A 23249-nucleotide genomic window follows, 5' to 3' on the forward strand; every position below is an offset into this window, starting at 1 on the left:
GTGTTAGTTACAGCCACTCCTTCTAGTCTCTGGAGATCAGCCTTCCCATCTGTTTTTACCATCACATTTTAACATAATTTGCTAAGTCCCAGCTCTATACTGGGAACTCTGGTAGGCACCAGGAAAACAAAGAAAAGTAAGAAAGTGTGTTGGCCCTCAAGGAGCTTACAGTTTGGCAGATCAAGGCTGCTGAAGGATATCCTGGTGACCTAAAAATGTCATTCAAATAGGGCCTCCATTTTTCCTAAATATTTTTCCACTCTGCACCTGTATCTTTAAGGGTTCCATTGGATCTCTTCTGCCGTTCCTCAGAAGGAAAGTCCAAAATCCCCCAGCCCTACTTTTTTTACTTTTAAACCGAAGCTCTCAAAGTCTGTGATCCTTTTGGAAATTAAAAAATGATTTGTAGTGCTAGTACTGCCTACAAGTGGACATATACATTAAGATATTTGAGTTATCTGCCTTATACTCTTTATTTGAGTTGTGGTTCAAGTTGTGAAAATAGCTGTTAAGACTCTGCAGACGTAGGCCAGCCATACAAGGCTAGGTCCTCACTGTAGCATCATCTAAGTAGAAGGATTACCGGGACATCCTGACAAGAAACAATATTGAAGCACTAACTCAGCTGCTTCTCTTAAGGCACACTACTGTTTAGTGGTAAAGAAATGTCCTTCTAGTTTTTGAATACAAAATTGAAGTGAAAATGAGTTTAGACTCATTTTCACTTCAAATAAACTATTGAAGGCTGAGTTATTTTTAGCTTGGCTGTTATAGTCCTCAGCTGTGCATAATCCAGCCCTTTGTGGGCCATAGCCCTCCTCTCATTCAAGGGGGAGGGTATCAAATTATCTCAAAAATCTTTTCTCACATGGGATTTCTATTGGAGGAAGCAAATAAAACTGTAGCTAAATAAAAACTACAAAATAATTTTGCACAAAGAAGAAATTTTCTTGCAGATTAAAAAATTATGATTAGAAAAACTTCCAGGGTAGTTATATTTGATCTTAAGAAAGATGTAAATAGAAATTATAAGCTAACATTATAGGCCTTATGTTTTTAGAACAGAAGAAATAAGCTAATTAACATTTGACTGTGCACTGATGTTTGTACCCTCATGACAGAATCCTTTAACTTTTGCATAAGTATAAATCAGATCATTCAAGAAAAGAATTCTCTATTTTTGTGTTTAGAAAATGAAATAAGTAGTGGATGACTTTTCCAGATTTTTCATGATCTATCATAGAGTTAAAAAAATTTATTTTTCTTATTTCTAAACAACGCTAGTGGTGAATTGCGTGGAAGATATTAACAAGAGATTCCTGTAGCACTAGGGAAAGTTCCTTGAGTAGAGAGAGGCTGTTTTCATATTTCACATTTTCCACAATGTTATGAACTTAGATTTTACCTAATAACTGATGACCAATATTGTACATATTCATTGTACAAAAAAGCTTTTAATCCAAATATATATAAAGAAAATAAAAACTAGCCACAACCCTGAACACAAAGTCTCTGCTAGTGATCTGGATGGTATCTCTTCATACATCATACTTAATAAACTGAGGTCCGTGTGTATGTATTTTAACTAGGACCCTATTTGTCAGTTATGTGTTTCTGTCCATTTTTTTTACTGATGATTTTGTATTTGACAAACTCTGCTACATGAAGACTTCTTATCTAGTAAGGAAAGTAACTCTCAGTGAGTTTATTATTTTCCTTTCACTTGTATGTCAGTGCTGTATGGTAGGATGCATTGTTTTTCCTCAGAATTGTGTTTTCTGTAATGATCTCTGCTTTCGATGATGTTGGTGTTATGTTTTTCAAATTAGATAAACACTTGTATTTTCTTCTGATACTTTTATGGAATGTATTTTAGTTTATGATATGAGGTCCTTTTTATTCCGTGTAGTGACCAATATTATGCTAATTATAGTCTTTAGGTTTAAGGGACAGCCGAGCTGTGTCTGCCTCTGCCACACCGTCAGTGCACACATGACAATGAGGCATCTGTAGGGAGCAGACTCTCTTTTGCCCCTTAGCAGCTGGATTTCGCTGATGACACTAAGATATTTGGGTTCTCTGCCTTATGCTTCATTTGAGCTGTGGCCAAAATAGCCATCAAGGTTCTGCTGACCTGCATCAGCCACACAAGGCTAGTCCTCACTAGCATCATCTAAGTAGAAAGATTAGTGGGACATACTGCCAAGAGACAATGTTTAAGCACTAAATAGAACACTTCTCTTAAGTCACACTACTGTTTAGTGTGAAAGAATTCTCATGGTGCTTGCCCCCTCCCAAGGCTGACTGCCCTGTCCCTTTCCAATCAGTTAAGGCCAAGGCTCAGGGTCAGAACATGTTCAACAGATAGTTAAGGAATAGATTAGGGCCACACCCTCAGCAAGTGGCCTACGATGGGCTGTTTTCCTTGGATAGCCACCATCCCCACCCAACCTTATAGGGACTGGCAGAGAGATGACCCTCTGAAAATGCTGGTAGTGAGGATGAAGATGTCCTCTGTTGGTTAGTTTCTCTAGACTAAGATGGAGAAAATAAGAAAAAAAAAAATCTCTAGGGTGAGATCATTTTTTAAAAGATTGTCTTTTGCTTGTATATTACAGTAACCTGAGTTCTCTTTTGTTAATAATGAAATTTGTTCTCTTTTCTTAATAATGAAATCTTCCCAAATGTTTAGCCAGTATTTGTGAAAAACATGGTTTGTGCCTCCTCCCACCACTGCCATTCCTGCAAGGGAACCTGCCCTTTGCTGAAGTAGAATAGGATAGGTTAAATGAATGAGGATCATTAGATAGGATAAGTTGGAATAGGATGTATCTCCATCCCCAATCCTTTGTGGTTTTTTTCTCATAGTGTATCTTTGCCTGTGCAGAGGCCCGTGATCTCCATTGATGAACCCTTTGATAGATTTGATTAGGAAAAACGTGGTGGGGAATAGAACAACTGGAAAAGGGATTTGAGTTAAAATGTAAAGACCTGGCTTTGACCACTGCCTCTCCCCTTATTCACTGATGACCTTACACAAGTCATCTGGCTTCACAAGAGCACTAGTCACCTAACTTGTTAAGCAAAGGTAAACATGATACTTTCTGTACAGCGTTCTCAAGTTTTCCTAAAGAGCAAGTGAAATAATGAATATTAAAATGTCATAGAAGGCCAGGCGCGGTGGCTCATGCCTGTAATCCCAGCACTTTGGGAGGCCGAGGCGGGCGGATCACGAGGTCAGGAGATCGAGACCATCCTGGCTAACACAGTGAAACACCATCTCTACTAAAAATACAGGAAAAAAAAAAAGGTAGCCGGATGTGGTGGCAGGCGCCTGTAGTCCCAGCTACTCAGGAGGCTGAGGTGGGAGAATGGTGTGAACCCAGGAGGCGGAGCTTGCAGTGAGCCGAGATTGCACCACTGCACTCCAGCCTGGGTGACAGAGCAATACTCTGTCTCAAAAAAAAAAAAAAAAAAAAGGTCATAGAAAGTCTAAGGCACTTATACAGTATTAATTTTTATCAACATCATTTCCTTTCTTCTCTGAAGAAGTCTTCATTTAAATGCAATTAACGCCACATTAACAGACTGCTGTACAATCTTCTCCTTCCTGCTTGAAAGGAGAAAAATACCTGACACTATCATTCTGCTTATATTATTAATATTTTCCCAAGAAACTCGACTCCCTAATTATTTTCTCCACTTGCCAGCTCAACTTTATTTTGCAGCTATAAAAACTAAAGTACCAAAGAGTTAAGTGATAAACCCCCATTTAGCCAGCCAGTCAGTGCTGGAGAAAGAGACACGCTAAAGGCAAAAACTTGTGACCTTCAGTGGGAGTTCTGTTAACCAACATCCAGAGGAGGAAGAGGAGGAGGAGAAGGAGCAGCGACCACCCAGCTCAACACCTTCGATTTCCAGTAGCTGCCAGCAGACTCACATTGAGATACGGCTTTGGAGGAAAAACCCAGTCACCTCTCTAAAGTACGTAGGAATCAAGAGACAGCAGACTTCTCAGGCTTGAATTCCTAAAAGCCCATCTTCATCAGAACACCCACAGTGATAGCACAGAGAGTTCATTAGTTAGCAGATGATTTAGAATTCAATACTCATTTTCCCAAGGATACAGTGTCATAACGGGATGAGGTTCCCAGACTAGTTCACAAAAGCTGTTACTATCATGAGCTCTGAGTCTTGGAAAGAGGAGGCCTTAGTATCTGTATCTCAGGGAAATGGCAAGAGCTATTCCTTCCACATCCCTGGGCAGAAGGCCAGCTCAGAGCAGAATTTTGAAATGAGACAATCATCTGTGGTGTGTTCTCTCTAGCTCTTAGACCCTTTTCCCATCAGTGCCCAGGGCTACTGTGGGCTCTCTCCTGGTTAGCCCTACTCCCTGCGCAGCTGGACTTCATGTTTACCCACCTCTCTCCACCATGTCCCTGTTCAGGCCCACATGCTCAGTCAGGTGAGATGTTAGGAAAGACATTATCCTTCTTTCATCATCCCGAAAGAGGTCTGTCTACCTTCCCACAGGTGTTGGCACTTTTCAACCACAGGCCTTTGTCAGAGAAGGCATTTTTTTTTAACAAGAAGACCTCCTAAAGTGGCCCAACTCTGCCTTGGATAATTCCTAGTATGTTTTCTCTATTTTTTACAGATGTTTCCCTTCTACTTTTAAACTGGAGTTACTAGCCTATGATTCATGAATTCCTTAAAATTAAAAAAAAAATGTGTATTTTTATGTTTTTTTCTGGTCAAAGTTAAATAGCTTCTATCCAATTCTCAGAACAGTTGATAAGCCTCACAATGTCAAGTGTTGGCCCAAACCCATAAATTCTTCAAAATGTCCAAGTTTGTCACACTTGTTTGGCACCAGAGATTTGAGCATAGAGGCTAAGGTTGGTCAGGATATATTTTTAGGTTCTTGAGGGTAGGTGAATGTAAACTGGAAAATCCCTGTGAAATGTATACTTCCTGCAAAATAACTTCCTTGATTATTTTCACCGATTTCATGTTTAGGGTGATACTGTTTGCAGCCACTTATGGGTGCTTCCCCAGATCTACACAAGAGCTTCACTGGCATCAATTCAGAAGAAAAGAAAACTTTTAAAAAATAATTTTAAAGAGAAAATGAGAGTATTCACTACTAACCCAAATGACAGCATTATCAGCAGCCCTGGCTCACTTCCCCTTAGAGACCCGCCCTTTTCATGGGAAGGCAGAGAAGTGAAGTCCTCAGAGGACGGACTCTGGGCCAGACACGTGTGGAATGAAGGCTTGCCCCTCACTGTGGGAACTGGGCAGATGGCTTGGCCATCCAGAGCATCAGTATCCTCAAGTCTGAAATGGGGAAGGTCATGTCTGCCTCGTGCATGTCTCACGTGGACTCACATACCAGGTGCTAGCCCCTGTGCCAAGTGTTTTGCCTTTGGTCTCAGAACAAATGTCCATCATCATTGTCATCTTTAGAGAAAAACAACTTCAGTCCCAGTGGAATTCATGCGATGCCACTTTTCATTTCACCTCCTGTTTGCCTCAGTTCCCTTGAGTCAATACATACATGCTTGTGTGTTTCCATCTTTTCTTTTCGTTATTCATTGCGACTCTGTCCCACCTGTTTTGCCCTTTTTACTTAGTTATTATCAAAAAATTTAAAAAGTATTATTAGTGAAATTTAGGAAAGAGAGACTTCTTCATTTTAAAGACAGGTGGCTTCTGCGCAGCCATTTTGCCTTGTGGTCTGGGATTGTAGTCATTGTCATTCATGCTCTGTTTGCACTGCTTTTCTGTAACTAACTGAGGCTTTCTTATGTGTCATATTTCACATCGCTGATGCTCCTGAAAATCATGAGGTGTCCACTAAAGTATGGTTGTAACGTTCTTTTTGCCTCATTACAAATTAAAATGTTCCAGTTTCATACTTTAACATTATTATATGCCCCCCAAATAAGCTGATAATATATTACACTTTTAATCTGCTTTTATTGTTGGCAGAAGGTTTTAATTATTTGCAGAGGGCTGTCGCATACAATAACCTATTCAGTGCAACAAACCTGAGAAGAGATTGTATCAGTCTTGAACCTTTTCATTTTCACGAGACAGCAAGGCCAACTCAAAGCAGCTTAGCCAAAAAAGGAAGGTTTTTGTCTCATGCCCCTGAAAAGTCCAGGCTTTAGGTACAGCTTGATCAGAGACACAAAGAATATCATTAAGACTCCATTTCTCACCATCTTTGGCTCCAGATTCCACTGTGTTGGCTTCACTCTCAGCTTATGTGTGGTGGTTGGTCCCGGCAGCCTCAGGTCCATATCCTTCCAGCAGGGGGAGGTGAGGCCTCTTGCCAGGACAGCTGTGGCTGATGCATCTCTTTGAGGCTTGTTAGTTCAGTAGTTTGATTGGCCTGAGCCACAGGCCAGTTTCTGGAGTCAGGTAGGGAAACAAGGTCTCTTGAAATGCATGGACATGGATGGGGGTTGAAGATGTGATTTTCCAGGACAAAATCTGAGCATTGCTTCCAGGAACTGAATGAGTATCCACCATAGAGGCATTATTATCATCTCTCTTTTTATAGATGAAGAAACTGGTGCTCAGAGAATATGTCAGTTGTCCAAATATCACAGTCAGGTAGTGACCAAGAGAGGACTGGAGCCAAAGTGCTCTTCTCTTTCTATAAGTCCATATCTAACCATGATGGCAAATGATACTGTGGCCATTGGGCAAAGTGAAGAGAGTACTACTGCACAGGGAGCAGGCCTCCTAGACTCATTTCTGCCCCTGACTACATGCACGGCCTCAGTCTTTGTGGGTCTCATTCTTCTCATCCATCACATAGTGACAATACCTGCCCTGATGAATACTCCTTGGGGACCAGATGAGATGTTGGGAAAAGGACTTTGGGAATCATATGAGTTCTTCATGAATACAAGGCACTCTTGCCTTCTCTCCAGCCCCACATGGTTTGTGAAGGCATCACATTTGAAAATGTGTTCAACACTCTCCAGTTTCCAAAGTTGCTTCCTACACCTCACTGCATTTAAATTTCCCAAACAGTCCTGTAAGGTAGATGAGAAACCAACCATCAAGGGGTTGAGAAGCTGGCCCTGGGACAAGCCAACAATGAACATGAGACCTTAGACTCCACTCCGTTTCACCTCTGTGCTGGGACTCGTGTGCCAGGAGCCTCAGCCTGATTCGATCAACTCTGGGTGTATCATTCTCAGCAGATGTGATTAGGAGGAATCGAGAAGCAGTAACATTTTGAATATGCCCTAAGACTATGTTTTGTAATATTCTACTGTGAATTGCCTACTTTTCAAAATACTCTGGTTGGGTTACTATTATTATTATTGAGATGCAGTTTCGCTCCTGTTGCCCATGCTGGAGTGCAGTGGCGTGACCTCGGCTCACCTCAACCTCCGTCTCCCAGGTTCAAGCGATTCTCCTGCCTCCTGAGTAGCTGGGATTACAGGCATGCACCACCACGCCCGGCTAATTTTCGTGTTTTTAGTAGTGACAGGATTTCACCATGTTAGTCAGGCTGGTCTCGAACTCCTGACCTTAGCTGATCCACCCGCATGGGCCTCCCAAAGTGCGGGGATTACAGGCATGAGCCACAACGCCCAGCCATTAATTATTATTATTTTTTTAATCATCATGTTTTACCTTTTTTATTTAATCATATACAAATCTTACAAAAATGCTTGAAGTAATTTAACACCTGTACATCAGTACAAAACCTGGCTGAGTAAAATGAAGAGAGAATCTATTCAAGATCATTAAGACCAAATGTAAACTGGGAAGTATGTGGAAGATAGCTGTCCAGCAAGTGTCTGGAAGGTGTTCTAGCTGGGTAGAGAGCCTATTCTAACAGACACGCACATCGCAGAAAGCGGCATGAACAGAACCACATCCTAGATAAGAGTGCTGTGTACAGAAGATCCATGGAGGCAAGTGCTGTCAGGAAGGGACACTGCCTCCCTCCACCCTCCCAACTGTCACCACCAAGTTCCTTCAGGTGAGACCTCACACAATGTCAAGTGCTTTCTAGGAAATACTAAGATCAGGTTGAGAGATTCTGCTTGGTCTAGTCAATCTGAAAAATTCAGGCTGGAAAGACACCTTTTCTCAAGAGTTGAATTGCTTTTTGCCTTCAAGTCTTGCCTGCACCTTGCTTACAATGGCATCAATTTACACCTAAGGACCTTTGAAGAGAAAAATTCCATTATTTCTTTTTTTTCTTGAGAGCAGATTTTTTCCCTCCTCCTTTGGAAGATTTGCAGTACTTTGCTTCCATCTGAGCCAGAAAATTGTCCATTTCCTTTTGCCAATCCTTTTGTCTGCTCTGAATGGCTGCCTTCAGGCTATCCACGCCTTCATCAAGCCCCAACTCCTTTCTGCTCATTTCTGCTTCTTTGGCCTCTTCCTGAGCCCTCCTTTTCTTTGCATTCATCTTTTGTGTTGATTCTTTGACAAAGGCGTTATAGGATGGGACCTCTCCGGCGTCAATAGCTTGCTGAATGATATTCCTTATCCTGGGTTCCTCTGTGTACTGCACGCAAAGCACAGACTCCATGATCTGATCCATGTCACCCTTGAAGTCCAGATAGGCCTGCTTAATATCAGCCAGCTCTTCTTCCAAACCTTTGTATGTCTTTTCAAAAGCTTGAACGTCCTCTAAAGATATCTTTTTAAAGAGTAGCCGCCAATACGCCTCCCAGTCTTGATCTTGGATGAGCACAGGAGAGTCCTCGTCCACCGTTCCCTGCTCATCGTACACTGCTCTCTGTTCTCTGTCACCGAGAATGGAATAGACTTTTTCCAGGATCTGGAAGCAGCGGGTGGCGTCCTCCTTGTCGCCCTCGCCCACCCGGTCCAGGTGTACCTGCAGGGACACCTTGTGGTAGCCTCGTCGGACCTCGCCATCGGAGGCCTCGCGTTGCACGCCCAGCACCCAGTAAAGCCAGCCATTAATTATTTTCATTTGGGGTTGAATGTAACAGAATCAGAAGAAACTCATGTACATAACCATGAGAAAACAGATCCAGCTCTCAAAAGATGAAGACAGAATTCATGAAGTCCTACCTTGAGAACAATTTTAAAGACATTGAATAGCTTTTTTTCATCCCTTTATTGCCTTCACATGACGTTTTACAATCCTAAAAACAAGAGTTTGGTGGGATAGCTTCTGCCATATGCTTCCAGTATGGCTATGAAGGATACTAGGAGGATCATATGGGGTGGGCCATGTGGTCAGGATGAGCTGGGATTGGCTGGTGCACCCCAAGGACTCTTGGAGTGACCAGTAACCTGATGACATGGCCCCAAAGATCTGCCGCCATAAACTCCAACCTCAGCTAATATTAATGTCTTAGAGCCTTCAGCCAGTTGCTGGAGAGCTGGCTGCAAGTCACTCCCAACATAGGCCGTGTTTGTCAGATGGGTAGGGGTGTTACCATCCCATGTTGTGTGTCCATGTCACATCAGGTTCTAGCCAGCAGCATCTGACCCTGGGGCGTGGTGTTAATATCTGCCTCACCAAGCTGTATTGAGGGTGACAGTGGTGGGTGCCCCCATTTCTCTGTTCTCCCTTACTGCAAAATTCTTCCAAAGTGGTGTTGTCTAGACCTGTGCTGGCCAGTACTTGTAGCCACTGGCCACATTTGACTATGGAGTATTTAAAATACGGCAAGTCAGAAATAATGTAATCCAAGTTGAAAGTGCACACCAGACTTTGCAGACTTAGTATATAAAACATCTGAATATTTTTTACATTGATCACGTACTATAATGATTATATTTTATATTATGTTAAATATATATTATTGAAATGTAATTTCACCTTTAAAGGTGTCCTTTTACTTTTTTAATGGGTCTGTAGAAAATTTCAATTTGCTCGTACAGTTCACATTCTGTTTCTCCTGGAGAGTTCAGTCTCCAGTCTGCCTTCATACTGGAGAAGTGCCAATGCAGCCACTTGCACTTCTCCCTTGACCCCATCTCAGGTAGGCTTGGATCCCAGCACTTCACCAAAAACAGCTTATGTCAAAGTCACCTTCCTTCCAGTGATCAGTTTTCACTCATAACCAGTCAGCAGTGTTCCATACAGTTGTCACTTTCATTGACATTTCATTCTTCACTTCCATGTCACTCTCTCTTGCCTCCAGGAGCAATATGCTATCTTGATTTTTCTCCTCCTCACTGATGCTTCCCTCATAGTCTCTTTTCCTGAATCCTCCTCATCTTCTCAACTTCTTTTACTCATCCAAAGTCATTTCCTAGTAGAGCTCATCCTGACTGACTCTGAGGACTTTGTGTCTGCAGCTCAGACCTCCCTGCTTTGTGTCTACAGCTCAGACCTCCCTCTGCCGGAAACCTGTGTCTTACCTGCCTGCTCAGCACCTCCATTTAGATATCCAGGAGGACCCTTACATCATCTTAGTCCATTTGTGTTGCTATAACACAATACCCAAGACTGGTAACTTATAAAGAACAGAAATTTATTTCTTATTGTTCTCAAGGCTGGGAAGTCTAAGATCAAATCACCAGCAGGTTGGGGTCTGGTGAGGGTCTAGTCCCTGCCTCCAAGATGATGTCTCATTGCTGTATGCTCCGGAAAGGAGGAACAGTGTCCCCACAAAGTGGAAGGACAATAGGTCCAACTCCTTCCTTCAGGCCCTTTTATAAAAACACCTAATCCCATTCATGAGGGTGGAGCCCTCATGGCCTAATTACATCTTCAAGGCCCCACCTCTTAATACCATCACATTGGCAGCACCTGAATTTTGGAGGGGACACAGTCATACCATAGCAATGCCTAAAACTGATTTCTTGGTCTTATTCCCCAAGCCTGACCCTAAATTTACTATATTTTCTGTGTTGGTAAAGGCCAACTTCCTTCATCCAGTTATTTAAACCAAAGATTGTCGAGTCACCAATGACTTCTCTTTCTCCCACTCTCTATATCCCGTCCATCAGCACATTGTGTTGGGTCTCCCATCAAATTATATTTCCATTCTAACCACTGCTCCCCAAGGAGCAGGCTCTTCTCCAAGACCCATCATCTCTGAATCAATCAATCATTGCCGAGGCCTCATCACTAGTCTTCCTCCTTGTAACCTTGTCCCTCTACAACGCCCAAGGTATTCCTTTTAAAATGTCAAGTCCCAAAAAAAAAAATGAAATAAATAAATAAATAAATAAATAAATAAATAAATAAATAAAATGTCAAGTCCCTTTTCTTCTAGGAAGCTTCCATGGGTATATCATCTTCCTCACAATAAAATATGCCATCCTTACAAAAGTCACACAAGATCTGCCTTTTCACCACCAGTACACACACACACCCCTCTTTCCTGCTTCCTGACCTCTTCCCCTGGTTTACGCTCCAGTTTCTGCACCTTCCAGGCATACTCTGTCCTCAGACCCTTGGTGTTCACTCTTCCCCCTACCCAAAATGCTCTTCCCCGTCTGCTTTTGTGGCTTGTCCTTCACTCAGGTCTCAGTGTAAAGCCCACCTTGTTACCTACCACAGCCTTTCCTGACCACCATATCTAACATAGCACCCCATGGCCCTTTAGATGTTTATTTCTCCTCATAACATCATAACCACCTGACATACGTTTATTTGTTTGTTTGTTGTCTTCTCCATTGAGATAGGGGCTCTGTGAAACCAAGGTCCTTTCCCTCAAGGGCCTCAAGCATTGCCAGGTACAGAGGTCAATATTGCCTGATTGGATTACTCTGTCGGATTCTGCTCAGTTATCAATTCTGTGTGCCTTTAGGGCAGAAGTTCAATAATTCTGCTGGGTATCAGAATCACTGAGGGGCTTGCCCAAAATATACATGCCCTGACCCCACTTCCTAGAGATCCAAATTCTGAGGTGGAACCTAGAACATTTTTAAACACACTTCCCACATGATTTTGATGCATGGGATAAATGGACCACACTTTGCAAAAGGCTGTCTCACTGTACCAGTTTGTGTTTGTTTATCTGCTGCTCTGCCTTGCTGAGTGTTGTTTTATGTATATCGGCAGTTTTTGAATCACCTGGGAACCTAAATATAGATGCCCTCGCCCCATCCCAGATCTTGTGAATCAGAACTTCCAGGGATGGGTCTTGGGAATCTCCATTTTCAAAAGGCTCCCTCTGTGCCTCTGATGCAGCCAGTCTTCCCACTGGCCTGCGGGAGCCCCTCCTGTGCTTTACAGACTTCGTGAGGAGGTTGGAAGCTCAAGAGCAGGTGTTTTCTCTGCCGTTTTAGGCCAACTTCTCTCCCTATCTCCCATTAATCCAACAGTGTTCTGTTCAAAACCAGTTTTTAGTAAGTCACTGTGGGGTGACTCCTTGGTTTATCCACAGTTTCAATGTGCCTTTGGGACTTAAACATTGCCCAGTATTTATTTTTTCTTTCTTTCTTTCCTTCTTTTTTCTTTCTTTCTTTTTTTTTTTTTTTTTTCAAAGCATTACTCTGTCACCTAGGCTGGAATGCAGTGGCACAATCATGGCTTACTGCGGCCTTGACCTCCTGGGCTCAAGTGATCCTCCCACCTCAGCCTGCTGAGTAGCTGGGACTATAAGTGCACACCACCACGCCTGGCTAATTTTTTGTAGAGATGAGGTCTCACTATGTTGCCTAGGCTGGTCTCGAACTCCTGAGCTCAAGCTATCCTCCTACCTTGGCCTCCCAAAGTGCTGGGATTACAAGCATGAACCACTGCGCCTGGCCCAGTATTTCTAACTGCATCTCAAATCAGCCTGTTCTCTGATTAGAGGCAAGAAGGATATCTTAGGCACCTAGCTCATCCTGGTGGGGACTCTCTTTGCAGTCCTTTCTATCCTGGAATTTAAAATGTGTTTCCCAGGTCAGCCCATACAGGAATAGGGTAATATCACCCATTGTCATACTCAAACATTCATCTGTTCAGCCTTCCCCTTGGTTCTGTACTGGGACATGTGCATTGACTGTCTTCATCCTTGGGGTACTGGTCTCCAGAGTACCCCCAAAGATCGAGAAAAGTCCTGATCCCTTGCCTTGTGGCCTGCCTAGGCTGCTTAGGTTGCTGAGGGAGGGTATCTCCCTAGAGGCCAGGGCTTTGCCCTATTTCTGTTTGGTTTTGCCCTAGAACTGTGTACTGACATTCTTTATAGAGAGAAACTTTTGAACCAAAAATCTTAAAAGTATAACCAAAAAGTAAAACAAAATAGGAGGTAGGGTGGACATGAGGCAGATGGCTGGAAATGGAGTATACCAAGGAATGATATTTGTAGAATTTTATTCCTTGGCCCAAGTGTAAGAGCTACCTTCCAGGTTGTAAGGAATCATTTATGAAGGCCCTGGAAGATCCTGTTGGTTAATCTAATTTTTTAATACCTGAGTCTCCATGGACTCAGAATGTCCCATTCTGGACTTTGGATGGCCAGCTCTTTGGTAGCCTCTTTGAATATGTTGGGTTTATCTTCATTCTTTACAAGACATGATGGGATCATTATTCATGGCAGAATCTGAAAAGTAGTAGGGTTGTCCCGTAAGCCCAGAAGGCACTTGCAACCCTCTTAGCACACATTATATATCTGCACCTTGGCGTTGTGCCTCCGGATAAGCCTCAGATTGCATTTTGATGCCAGATGTGAGAAGCCTTTAGTAATCAGGATGACTCCCTTTAGGAAATCCTGTTCCCAGGTGATAGCTGCTTCCTAAGGAATACTTGTTTGGGGGCTTGGGGGTTGGGGGGGCGGGGGAGGGGAGCAGCACCAGAGGCTCTGATTTAGAGACAAAGGGGAGTTAATTGACCCTAGAAATGTTAGAGTAAGAGATTTCTAATGAGACCTGACAGCTCAGGGGCTGAAGAGGGAGTCTAATCTTTTTTTTCCTGCCCACCCAGTCTTCATACAAATGTAAATATGCCTCCTTCAACAAATTGCCAAATGTGGTTTTAATTTGTAAGCGGGAGACCCCGCCTTGCTTTTCTCTTTCTTTTTTTCTTTTTCTTTTCTTTTTTTTTCTTTTTTTTTTTTTTTTGAAAACTAAGTCACAGATTTTACACTTTTTGAACAGGACATTTCCTCCTGTCACTCTTATCACCTTTTCTGTTGTCCTTTTTCTTCCAAGGACATTTTCCCCCATTGTTGTCAGAGGAATTTGGGATGAGAGCCGACTGCTCTGCTTCTTAAAGGAGTTTTTGAAGTTCCCATAGGAAATGCATAGTGCTCTTTAAACTGAATTTTAAAAATAAATAAATAAAGGCAGTGATTGAATTTAATACGAGATTTGAAAGAGTGTCACTATCACAGCATCATACTTTATGTGGCATATGCAGTATTCATTGTTGTTATTTATGACCCTGTCTGCCTTCCATTGTGGATTTCTTCCAGCCTTGGGGAATTTACATCATTCCTAATAGCAAAAGGCTTTCTGGTTCCCACAGAGTTGTTCAAAGCCTGACTCATGCTCCTTATGTTAATTGTTCAGCTCTGAAAATACAGCACTTACAGGGTGTGGCTGTGAGGGGAGAATCTACTGTACTTATAGGGCATGTTTAGAAGTGTTTCACACATAAATCTCGATTCCTCTCGATCTCTCTCTTTCTCTCAGTTGAATTTTAAGCTGTCACTCATTTTGGCCAACTAGTAAGTCTTAGAAAACAAAAAAAAAGGGAGTATAATCCAATAAAATCCAATAAAACCTAGAATATTCTGTTCACTAGCTTAAAACTCACTTGGGTTATAACCAGATATGACTTTGAGTGACACTGGCCCAGGTCTGAGATGGATAGGCACAATTGAAGAGTGTGAAGAGCCCATCCTCAGTGGTGCAGGGCAGTGATTAGGCAAAGCACATCCCCTCGGCTTGTAGGATAACCAGGCACGGTACTCATGGCTGCCACCCACCAGGTACTCTGGGGCTGTCACTGCTAATTCCAGTGTAGGTCTAAAGCAAGGACCTACTGACAACTTACTAAAGCTGTTTCTGGTGGTAGCAACATTTTATTGGAATTTGATGGAGAAGAATACTTAGTTTCTCAGAAAATATGAGGAGTTAACACCTTGTATGGATTATCTACTTGATAACCAAAAGGAGAAGAGATTCCAAAAGCATGAAATGGGTTAATGTTGGCAAGGTAGGTAGGCTTTTACATTTTATAATTACTTCCTTATGATGCTTCCATGGGAACACAAAAGGCTAGATAGGCAGATAATCTATGAATTATATAAAACCAGAGTGGTGGTTAGTATAAGGAAAAAAGTCCCGAATTTTTTGGTAGCCAAGAATCACAAACTACAGTTTTCAAAATACCAATATTAAAAGATTTGACTGTTGCTATGGTCTTGGGTGTGATAAAATATTCTTTTTTTTTTTGAGACAGAGTCTCGCTCTGTTGCCCAGGCTGGAGTGCAGTGGTGCCATCTCGGCTCACTGCAAGCTCCGCCTCCCGGGTTCACGCCATTCTCCTGCCTCAACCTCCCAAGTAGCTGGGACTACAGGCATCTGCCACCACGTCCCGCTAGTTTTTTTTGTATTTTTAGTAGAGACGGGGTTTCACCGTGTTAGCCAGGATGGTCTCGATCTCCTGACCTCGTGATCTGGCTGCCTCGGCCTCCCAAAGTGCTGGGATTACAGGCGTGAGCCACTGCACCCGGCCACAAAATATTCTTTGTTTTTGCAGATAGAGAAAATATGGGGAATTCTTAGGATGATAAGGGTGTAGACCACTGTGTCACCAGGTCTTGCTAGAAGAACAGAGCTCACAGGCACGTTGCCCCACACAGTAGGATTCTGGGGCTTTTGTCACAGCCTGAGCCTCACAGATACCAGATATTGGCCAAGAGTTCCCAGATGGTTTGGAATCAACATTATTTGCCTTACAGTTTTGTATGTTTATGACGCATGTTAATGTATGAAATGTGGACTGGGAGTCCAAAAGAAGTTACAATTAACCATAAAGTCCTAGGTAAAAAAGGTTAAAATAGCTTACCACTGAGCAGTTTCATTCAGTCTTTACAAAAATAAATGTGTTCATTGGGGCATTCAGAGTGTAACTGTTTTCTCTCATGTTCAGCTAATAGATTTCTGGTTGAACCTTTGTTATCTTTTGGAGTAGACAGAAAGAGTTCTCCATGGAGTGTCTGATTACTTTGCTGAGTGTGCAGAGAGTTCACTTCCTCCCAGTGCAAAGCTCCGGAGAAATGCTCTGAAAGAAATGTAGGTGCAATGTGTTTCCTTTTTCTCATTTTTGCCTGTCTCTATGTATGGATAGATAACATGAAGTCCAGAATTAAACAGAGTGCCTGGAACTGAAGCACAAACTCCCCTCCGTCACGTACTTACTCTCCCCTCCCTCCTGACTCTCTTGCTTTCTGGACAATAGGGATAGAATCCTTGCTTCACAGGTGTGTTGCAAGGAGTAATTAATGACACGTTCTTTGAAGATGAAAAGCACCTGTTGGTGGTGTGTTTCATACCACTTTCGGAGGGACTACAGACAGATCTAGAAAAAAAAAAATTCCTTTCCTAGGATCCTTGTTCCGACTTTAATATAATTACGATAATCCTCATGCTCCTGGTGTCAACAGTAAGAACATGAATATTACATGTATTTGTTTTCACACTGAAGCTAGCCGAAATAAATATTTCAGCTTTCAATGTTTTGGTGGTTGAGGAAATTTCTTGCCATTCACAAACCTGTAAATATATGCTGAAGTTAACATCTTTAGTCTCTAATTCTCCCTGTGCAGCTTCTATCCTGCCCCTCAAAGTTCACTTTATCATCAGAGTGAAGTTACATTGTCTGTTGTGCACGCTGTAAGGAGCAAGGGGCTTATATACAGCTATATCGACACTCTTTTGTCTTCCACGATTGTATTTTATTGCCTTTCATGCTGACTATCTGAAATTTCTTCCAGGACATTTCAAATTATATTAACTAAGTCCTACTCCCATTTGTTGATCAAGTTTGGTCAACAAACCTGATACCAGCTAAATGGTGGTTATATTTGGGTAACATCTTGAAATAGCCTGAGAGAAATTCCAGAAGATTTTTCTTTACTCACAAGTAGAAATTGTGTGTATGTGTACATTTGTGTACACAGAGCCTGAGTCTACTCCTGGAAAAAAAAAATCAGTATATAGGCAGTACTGACCCTTAACATTGGAAATGAATACCTATTTACCTTAGTTAAAATGTGAACGCCATCATAAATCCATTTTTAACCCAATGATTGATAAGCAGTATCATGTATAATGGAATATGTGAAGGTTTTTGCTTGATTCAGTCTGCATTTAAACATACACCTGTGGTGGGGAGTGTTTCCAGATTTGCTGGGGAAGCGAGAGGGCAGGTAGTGCCTGCCTCCTTTTTCAGGTGTAGGAAATGTGGTAGAGGGAATCTGGAGGAAACAGTGCAGTGACAGCTTTACAAACCATAAAATCATTTTTGTTTGTTTCAGTGTGAAAAGAACTGAAACAAAAAGCAGTGTCACGAGCAAATCGCAGACCAGAAGAGACACTGTGGAAACATCTAGTGACTCAGTGATTGCAGAGATAGCAAGGAGGAGGAATGATGGTCAGGCTTCCTCCAGTCCCCCATCAGAATCCATGGGACAAGCAAAGGATTCCATAAAGGCAGCTGAGAGCCACTGGGGGCTTCCTGTTCAAAAGCTGGAAAAAGTTAATCAGACCCAGCCAGAAGACACTAGTGGCCAGCAAAAACCTCATCCTGGGGAGCGGTTAAAGACAGGGCTTCTAAGCAGGAGCCCCGTCTGTAGCTGTGAGTCAGCATCACCATGTCCAAAACAAAGTCCACGAGTGGCCAAAACCCAACAGAAACGCAGGAACTGCAGCTCTGCGGAAGACTTCGACCACCACGGGAGAGTTTCTCTTGGAAGTGATCGATTAGTCCCGAGAGAAATAATAGTGGAAAAAAGCAAAGCTGTCAGGGTTTTGCCAGCTTCAGAGTTGTCAGATCCAGGGTTACTTTTGAAACAAGATTTGGCAAAAACCACGTCTAAGGAAGAGTTGCATGTTTTGGAAAGTCTCTCCTCCAGACATCTTATGAAAAATAACCCAGGGCAGGCACAGCAAACCGGCTTAGCCACAAACACTGAAAGATTATCTACAATTCAGAACAGCCCAACCAAGAAAAGAAAGAAATACGAAAGAGGCCATTAACACCGAAGAGGTTTGTACCGTTGGAGTTGAGGACATAGTGGCCAAACCTGTGACAAGAGAGCTGCGAATATAGATGCCGGGATTTTAAAGGAATTAATTAGAATGACTAATTTAAATAGGAAGTGTGTTATCTGTGTTATGGCTATGGTTTGTTTTCAAAGCATTTCAAACCGGGAGGCTATATGCTTGTTCTAACAGCGTTGCTTCTTTATCATTGTATTTTATGACTGTCTTCAGAGAATTAGTAATGACAAAGAGCCATCCACCTTGTCAGGGAGGAGACTGTGCAAGGACTGCATGAAGAAACTGATCATGAGCCCCTTCTTGGCACATCACTGTGCAGACCACACAATGGACCGTGCAAAGACAGTGCTGCCGTGCTGCCTTTCAGCTCCAGGGGTACAATCCATCCCCCTGCTCCTCAGCCTGAGTAGGAGGGCAGTGAAAGAACAAGCTAGTGGTTCTTAGCGCGTGGTCCTGGGACCAGCTTCGTTGTCTGGAAATGTGCTAGAAATGTGGTTATTGGGCCCTGCCCCATGCTGAGTAACTGCCTTTGGGTGATTCTGAAACATGCTCGCGTTTGAGAACCACTGGACTAATAGAACACTCCCCAGTGCTTCCTGCAGCCTGGTTGCCATGGCCTCCAGCTCACCAGTTGGGGCCAGATGTGCACATGCATCCCCTCGGACTCCCTCAAACTCGTAAAACACTTGGGTTTGGTGTATGGGTCACTCTCTTCCGGGTTCTACAGTATGGCAGCCATGGCACCCATGAAGGTGTTACTTTCCCTTATAATTGTTGAAGTCGATGGGCGATTCTGCCCAACCTTAGGAGAAGACATCAGAGAGGCTCGTTGTTGCCTGTAGCTCAAGCATGTCCCAGTCCCTGCTCTTGCACCCACCTCCAGGATTTTGGTTTGGGACAGACTATAACCTAACAGGAACTCAGTGACCAGGTTCCAGTTTCCCAGTTGGAAGGCTTCGCAGGCAGTTCAAATTTCAAGATGGGAGCCTTCCCTTTACAATGTCACCCACTGTCTCCAGTGGGCTTGATGAAATGTCACATAGTGAATTGTAGCAATGACTTATTTTGGATGGACACCCGCTAAAAGTTTCCAATAACCGAATTTCACTCTAAAAGAGGAAAGAAACAATATTCAAGGTCCATTCATTCAATACATCTTTTTTTTTTTTCTGTTCAACATGGGGTGGTCCTTTGAAATGGCACCTCCCCTAAGTAATAAGGAAAACCAAGTATATTCCCTAAAGTGTTGAAGTTAGCAGAAAAATCACCCAGAAAAGCCCAAAACAATGACAAGAGTACAGAAACAGGCATAGTGTAGGTTCATGCTTGAGATGGATTAGTGGTTTATTCCATCCCGTTCTATCCTTTCCCGTATCTCCTGTCCCCACTTGTTAAGACCAGTAAGACTCATGAAGCAGCAGCTATATTTCATGGCACCATTTTGGGTCATGAAATTCCATCTTGGTCACCAAGCCTGACTGTGGTGGTAGATACTGTTACTTTAATGTTCCAAACCCTGCCTAGAAACCTGTTCCTGTCCCATGATCCCAGCCTCACCACCCCCACTTGAAACAGCCCTTCCTACTGGTATCCTGTCCTCTTCCCTCTTGGCTTTTTTCCTGCTCCCAGCGGAACCCAGTCAGGGGATTCTATAGGAGAAGAGGGAGCCCAACAGAATACTAACTTCAGTGGAGCTGACTCTGCTTATACAATAGGGGTGGGCTGCACAGAGTGGAAACCGAGTACCTGGTAGAATGTGCATTTCCATGGCCCACTGTAGGCGCCTCTCTTAGAGCAAACAGTATTTTAGGTGTGCTCTTTATTGAACACAGGACCACAGTGTGTCACTGAATCTTCTTAAACAGAAGCAATTAGAACGATTTAGATATAGGGAGGGCACAAGTAATAAGTAACCCAGGGGATAGACCAAGAAGCAGCTCTCTGGAAGAGTCTGGAATTAAAAAGACGGCTGTACTAGAACAGTAGCCACTGCCTGCTCCAGAACTAGGGGGGAGATATTTGAGCTGGAGCCACCAGAGAACATTTCTATTGAGAAGTTTTTATTTGTTTGTTCTGTTGGTTTTTTGTTATTTCTGTTTTCTTCTAATCTTTCTCTGAAGTATCACTCTGGTATTGAGAAATTTTTATTTCATTAGCTAACCTGGGCTTGGTGGTTAAGGCTAGTACTTGTACTTAGAATGATTCTCTGTCAGGAAAAGTCTTGGCTTTAGAGTTTGTTATAGTTGGGGATATAACAATTACTGTGATCGAAGAGAAAAAATAGCACCTTTGGTTGTAGATAGATGTAGTTTTCCTCACAGCCCTCACGTCCCTTCATGTAAAAGGGATTTTAACAGGATTTACAGAGGGAATGGCTCTCAGTTCCCACACTGTGACATGTGTTTGAGGAATTTTGCCTTTAAGCATTTTTCTTGCACATGGCTGAAACACCCCTGGCTCTCTTGTTATTTGAGTGGTTGCATGATTCTTTGGATATTTGGAAGTACAAAGGGGTAAATGGATGCCAGGGGTTTTTTGTTGTTGTTGCTTATTAGGTAGGATATGAAGAGTTCTCACTGTTGGGAATGGTATGTGTTTTGACATTCTTTTTTTTTTTTTTTTTTTTTTTGAGACAGAGTCTCGCTCTGTCGCCCAGGCTGGAGTGCAGTGGGGCGATCTTGGCTCACTGCAAGCTCCGCCTCCTGGGTTCACGTCATTCTCCTGTCTCAGCCTCCTGAGTAGCTGGGACTACAGACGCTCGCCACCACGCCCGGCTAATTTTTTGTATTTTTTTTTTTTTTTTTTTTTTTTTAGCAGAAACGGGTTTTCACCGTGTTGGCCAGGGTGGTCTCGATCTCCTGACTCGTGATCCGCCCGCCTCGGCCTCCCAAAGTGCTGGGATTACAGGTGAGAGCCACCGCACCCGGCCTGTTTTGACATTCTTAATGATCTTAATAATTTGGCATCTGAAAGTCTGAAACAGTGTCAGTATTGTTAGTCAAAAAGAACAAGTTCTTCAACCACTTGCGTAGTACCCCAAATTATATTCAAGTCCCTGTGACTCCAATGCTTGGAGAAGTCATTGATATGATTTGATTAATGTTATAACTTTGAATTTCCTAACTTTCTCAGCGGCATAGATTCTAAGCCACTTCCATGTGCTTTCAGATGGCATCTTAATAGATTGGTGTTGAGGTTATTTTAATGTCCATAAACAAGAAAGGTCTGGGAACAATCTGTATGATTTTTCTTTCACATTTTCTTATCTTTGCCACTGGAGGTTAACTGTCGTCCAGATATGCATATGAATTGTGAAATGCAAAGAAGCAAACATTTGGGGGTAGGGGAGTAAGTGCTGTAGTTCTTTTGTTCACTTATTTTAATACTATAGAAGTGTATTTCATTTTATAAAAAGCAAGAATCATAAAAACCCTCTGTATTTTGATTTATGAAGAATATAGCTTCTCTCTGAAGTATCTCAAGATATATCTTGGGGACCACAATGGGATCACAGTGTAATTGTTTGCTGTTGGTGTCATGTTTGGATTTTAGCATGGTTTGTTATGCATGTCAGTGGCCTCTGATTTCAGAAAGAGCTTGGCGAGGGCAGAACACATAAGGGAAGGAAACCTCTGCTCAAGAGAGTGGCCTGGGATCACAGTGTCGTCATTCCCAATTTCCTTGAATTCCTTCTTGGCAGACCTTACTGTAATATTACACAAAACTGTAATGAGTGGCCCTCCTTTGGAGGTAACAGATGCCTTTCCTAAGAACTCAAAGTTCTCTTTTCAGCGTGCTGTGACTTGAATATGGAAATCATTTTAATTTCTTCTTTTCTCTTATGGGGAAATTTCCATGCTTGGTTTGTCAAGACAAGAGAATTCATTCCTTATTATTGAAACATTAATGAACTGAAACACGTTGAAGCAAGTAAAAAATCAAAATTAGGTTGGTTTATCTTAAATAGTTAAAAGCCTTCCTTAGTACAAAATAAATTAAGCATTGTAAAACGAAGTTAATTCAGGTAATTACTCAGTACAGAAATCTAACCGTATATATCATTGGTATTGCAATTTAAGGGTATAATTAAATTCTCAGAAATCTGCAGGACTCACTCTAATTTGCTTTCTATATTTATTTACAAGACAGGGAACAAATATGTGTCAATGTGCAGCTTAACAGAGGGGACTTGAATGGATAAAATTATCTTTAATTATCTAGAGCTACCCAGTACTGGGCTTGAATTTAATCATAGTCAAATGTTTCCTCTGGCAGCATAATATTACCATACACCATATTACCTTATAATTGCCATTACAGTTCCTTATCAAAAATGTTAATTCTTTGCTTGAGCAAAAATCAATAAAACCTTATGTTTGACCCTAAAGTATTTGATCAGGGAACAGAAGGTGTGAATTGGACAGATCCCCCGAATAACTTTCTTCAATCAAGTTGAAAAACCAAACAGCTATGTAAGTCCCCAGGAGAGCTCTTTTTCCCTTATCTTCTCATTTGTTTTGTTATAAACTGTTTAAATAGTTCAAATGGTTGTGCATGCCTAGGGGATGAAACCTATGTAATAGAAATGTACTGTTTTATGAATAAGGAGTAAAATTGTTTTAAAAAATTAATGTGTATCACTTCTGTTCTTCAAAAACAAGTGAATTAACCCCAAGAAATGCATATTCAAAATGCCCTTTTCTGGACAGCTATTTTAAATTATGCTCTATTTGTAAGAAGTGTTTGTGTTTTCTTTGTTGAAATAATTCTGCAGTTTTGAATACTGTGTAAAATAATCAAAGGAGCTTTCCATTTAACCATCGGCCTTAAAGATTTAGGTATTGAAAACCCAGCATGAAACATTTGGATTAAATTGACCCCTAAGATTTTGGGGTGCTCCTTACAATGTGGACTTGTTCCCAATTCTGCTGCCAACTAAGAGCTAAGATAGACCTCTTTGGCAAGATTAAACTATGGCACTTTGACTCCTTTCCAAGGATCTTGACATTCCCCAAGTGGATTCATTTCCATTTTCCAAGTGAATCTAATCTTTACTCAGA

The 23249-nt window shown here is 42.1% G+C and overlaps 1 protein-coding gene and 1 pseudogene across 1 annotated transcript in view; one reads left to right on the plus strand and one right to left on the minus strand.

Moving 5' to 3' along the window:
• The window catches only part of SLX4IP (SLX4 interacting protein), a 192726-nt gene extending 169910 nt beyond the window's left edge, over positions 1 to 22816 (plus strand). The window contains exons 7-8 of the mRNA NM_001009608.3: positions 16100 to 16200; positions 17445 to 22816. Of these exons, the coding sequence (NP_001009608.1) occupies positions 16100 to 16200; positions 17445 to 18165 (822 nt within the window). The 3' untranslated portion in view covers positions 18166 to 22816. The remainder of the gene's footprint in view (positions 1 to 16099; positions 16201 to 17444) is intronic.
• Positions 8025 to 8959, minus strand: DNAJC9P1 (DNAJC9 pseudogene 1; annotated as a pseudogene).
• Positions 22817 to 23249: the final 433 nt, after the last annotated feature.

Source organism: Homo sapiens, chromosome 20 (assembly GCF_000001405.40).
Source record: "Homo sapiens chromosome 20, GRCh38.p14 Primary Assembly".
Taxonomy (NCBI): domain Eukaryota; kingdom Metazoa; phylum Chordata; class Mammalia; order Primates; family Hominidae; genus Homo; species Homo sapiens.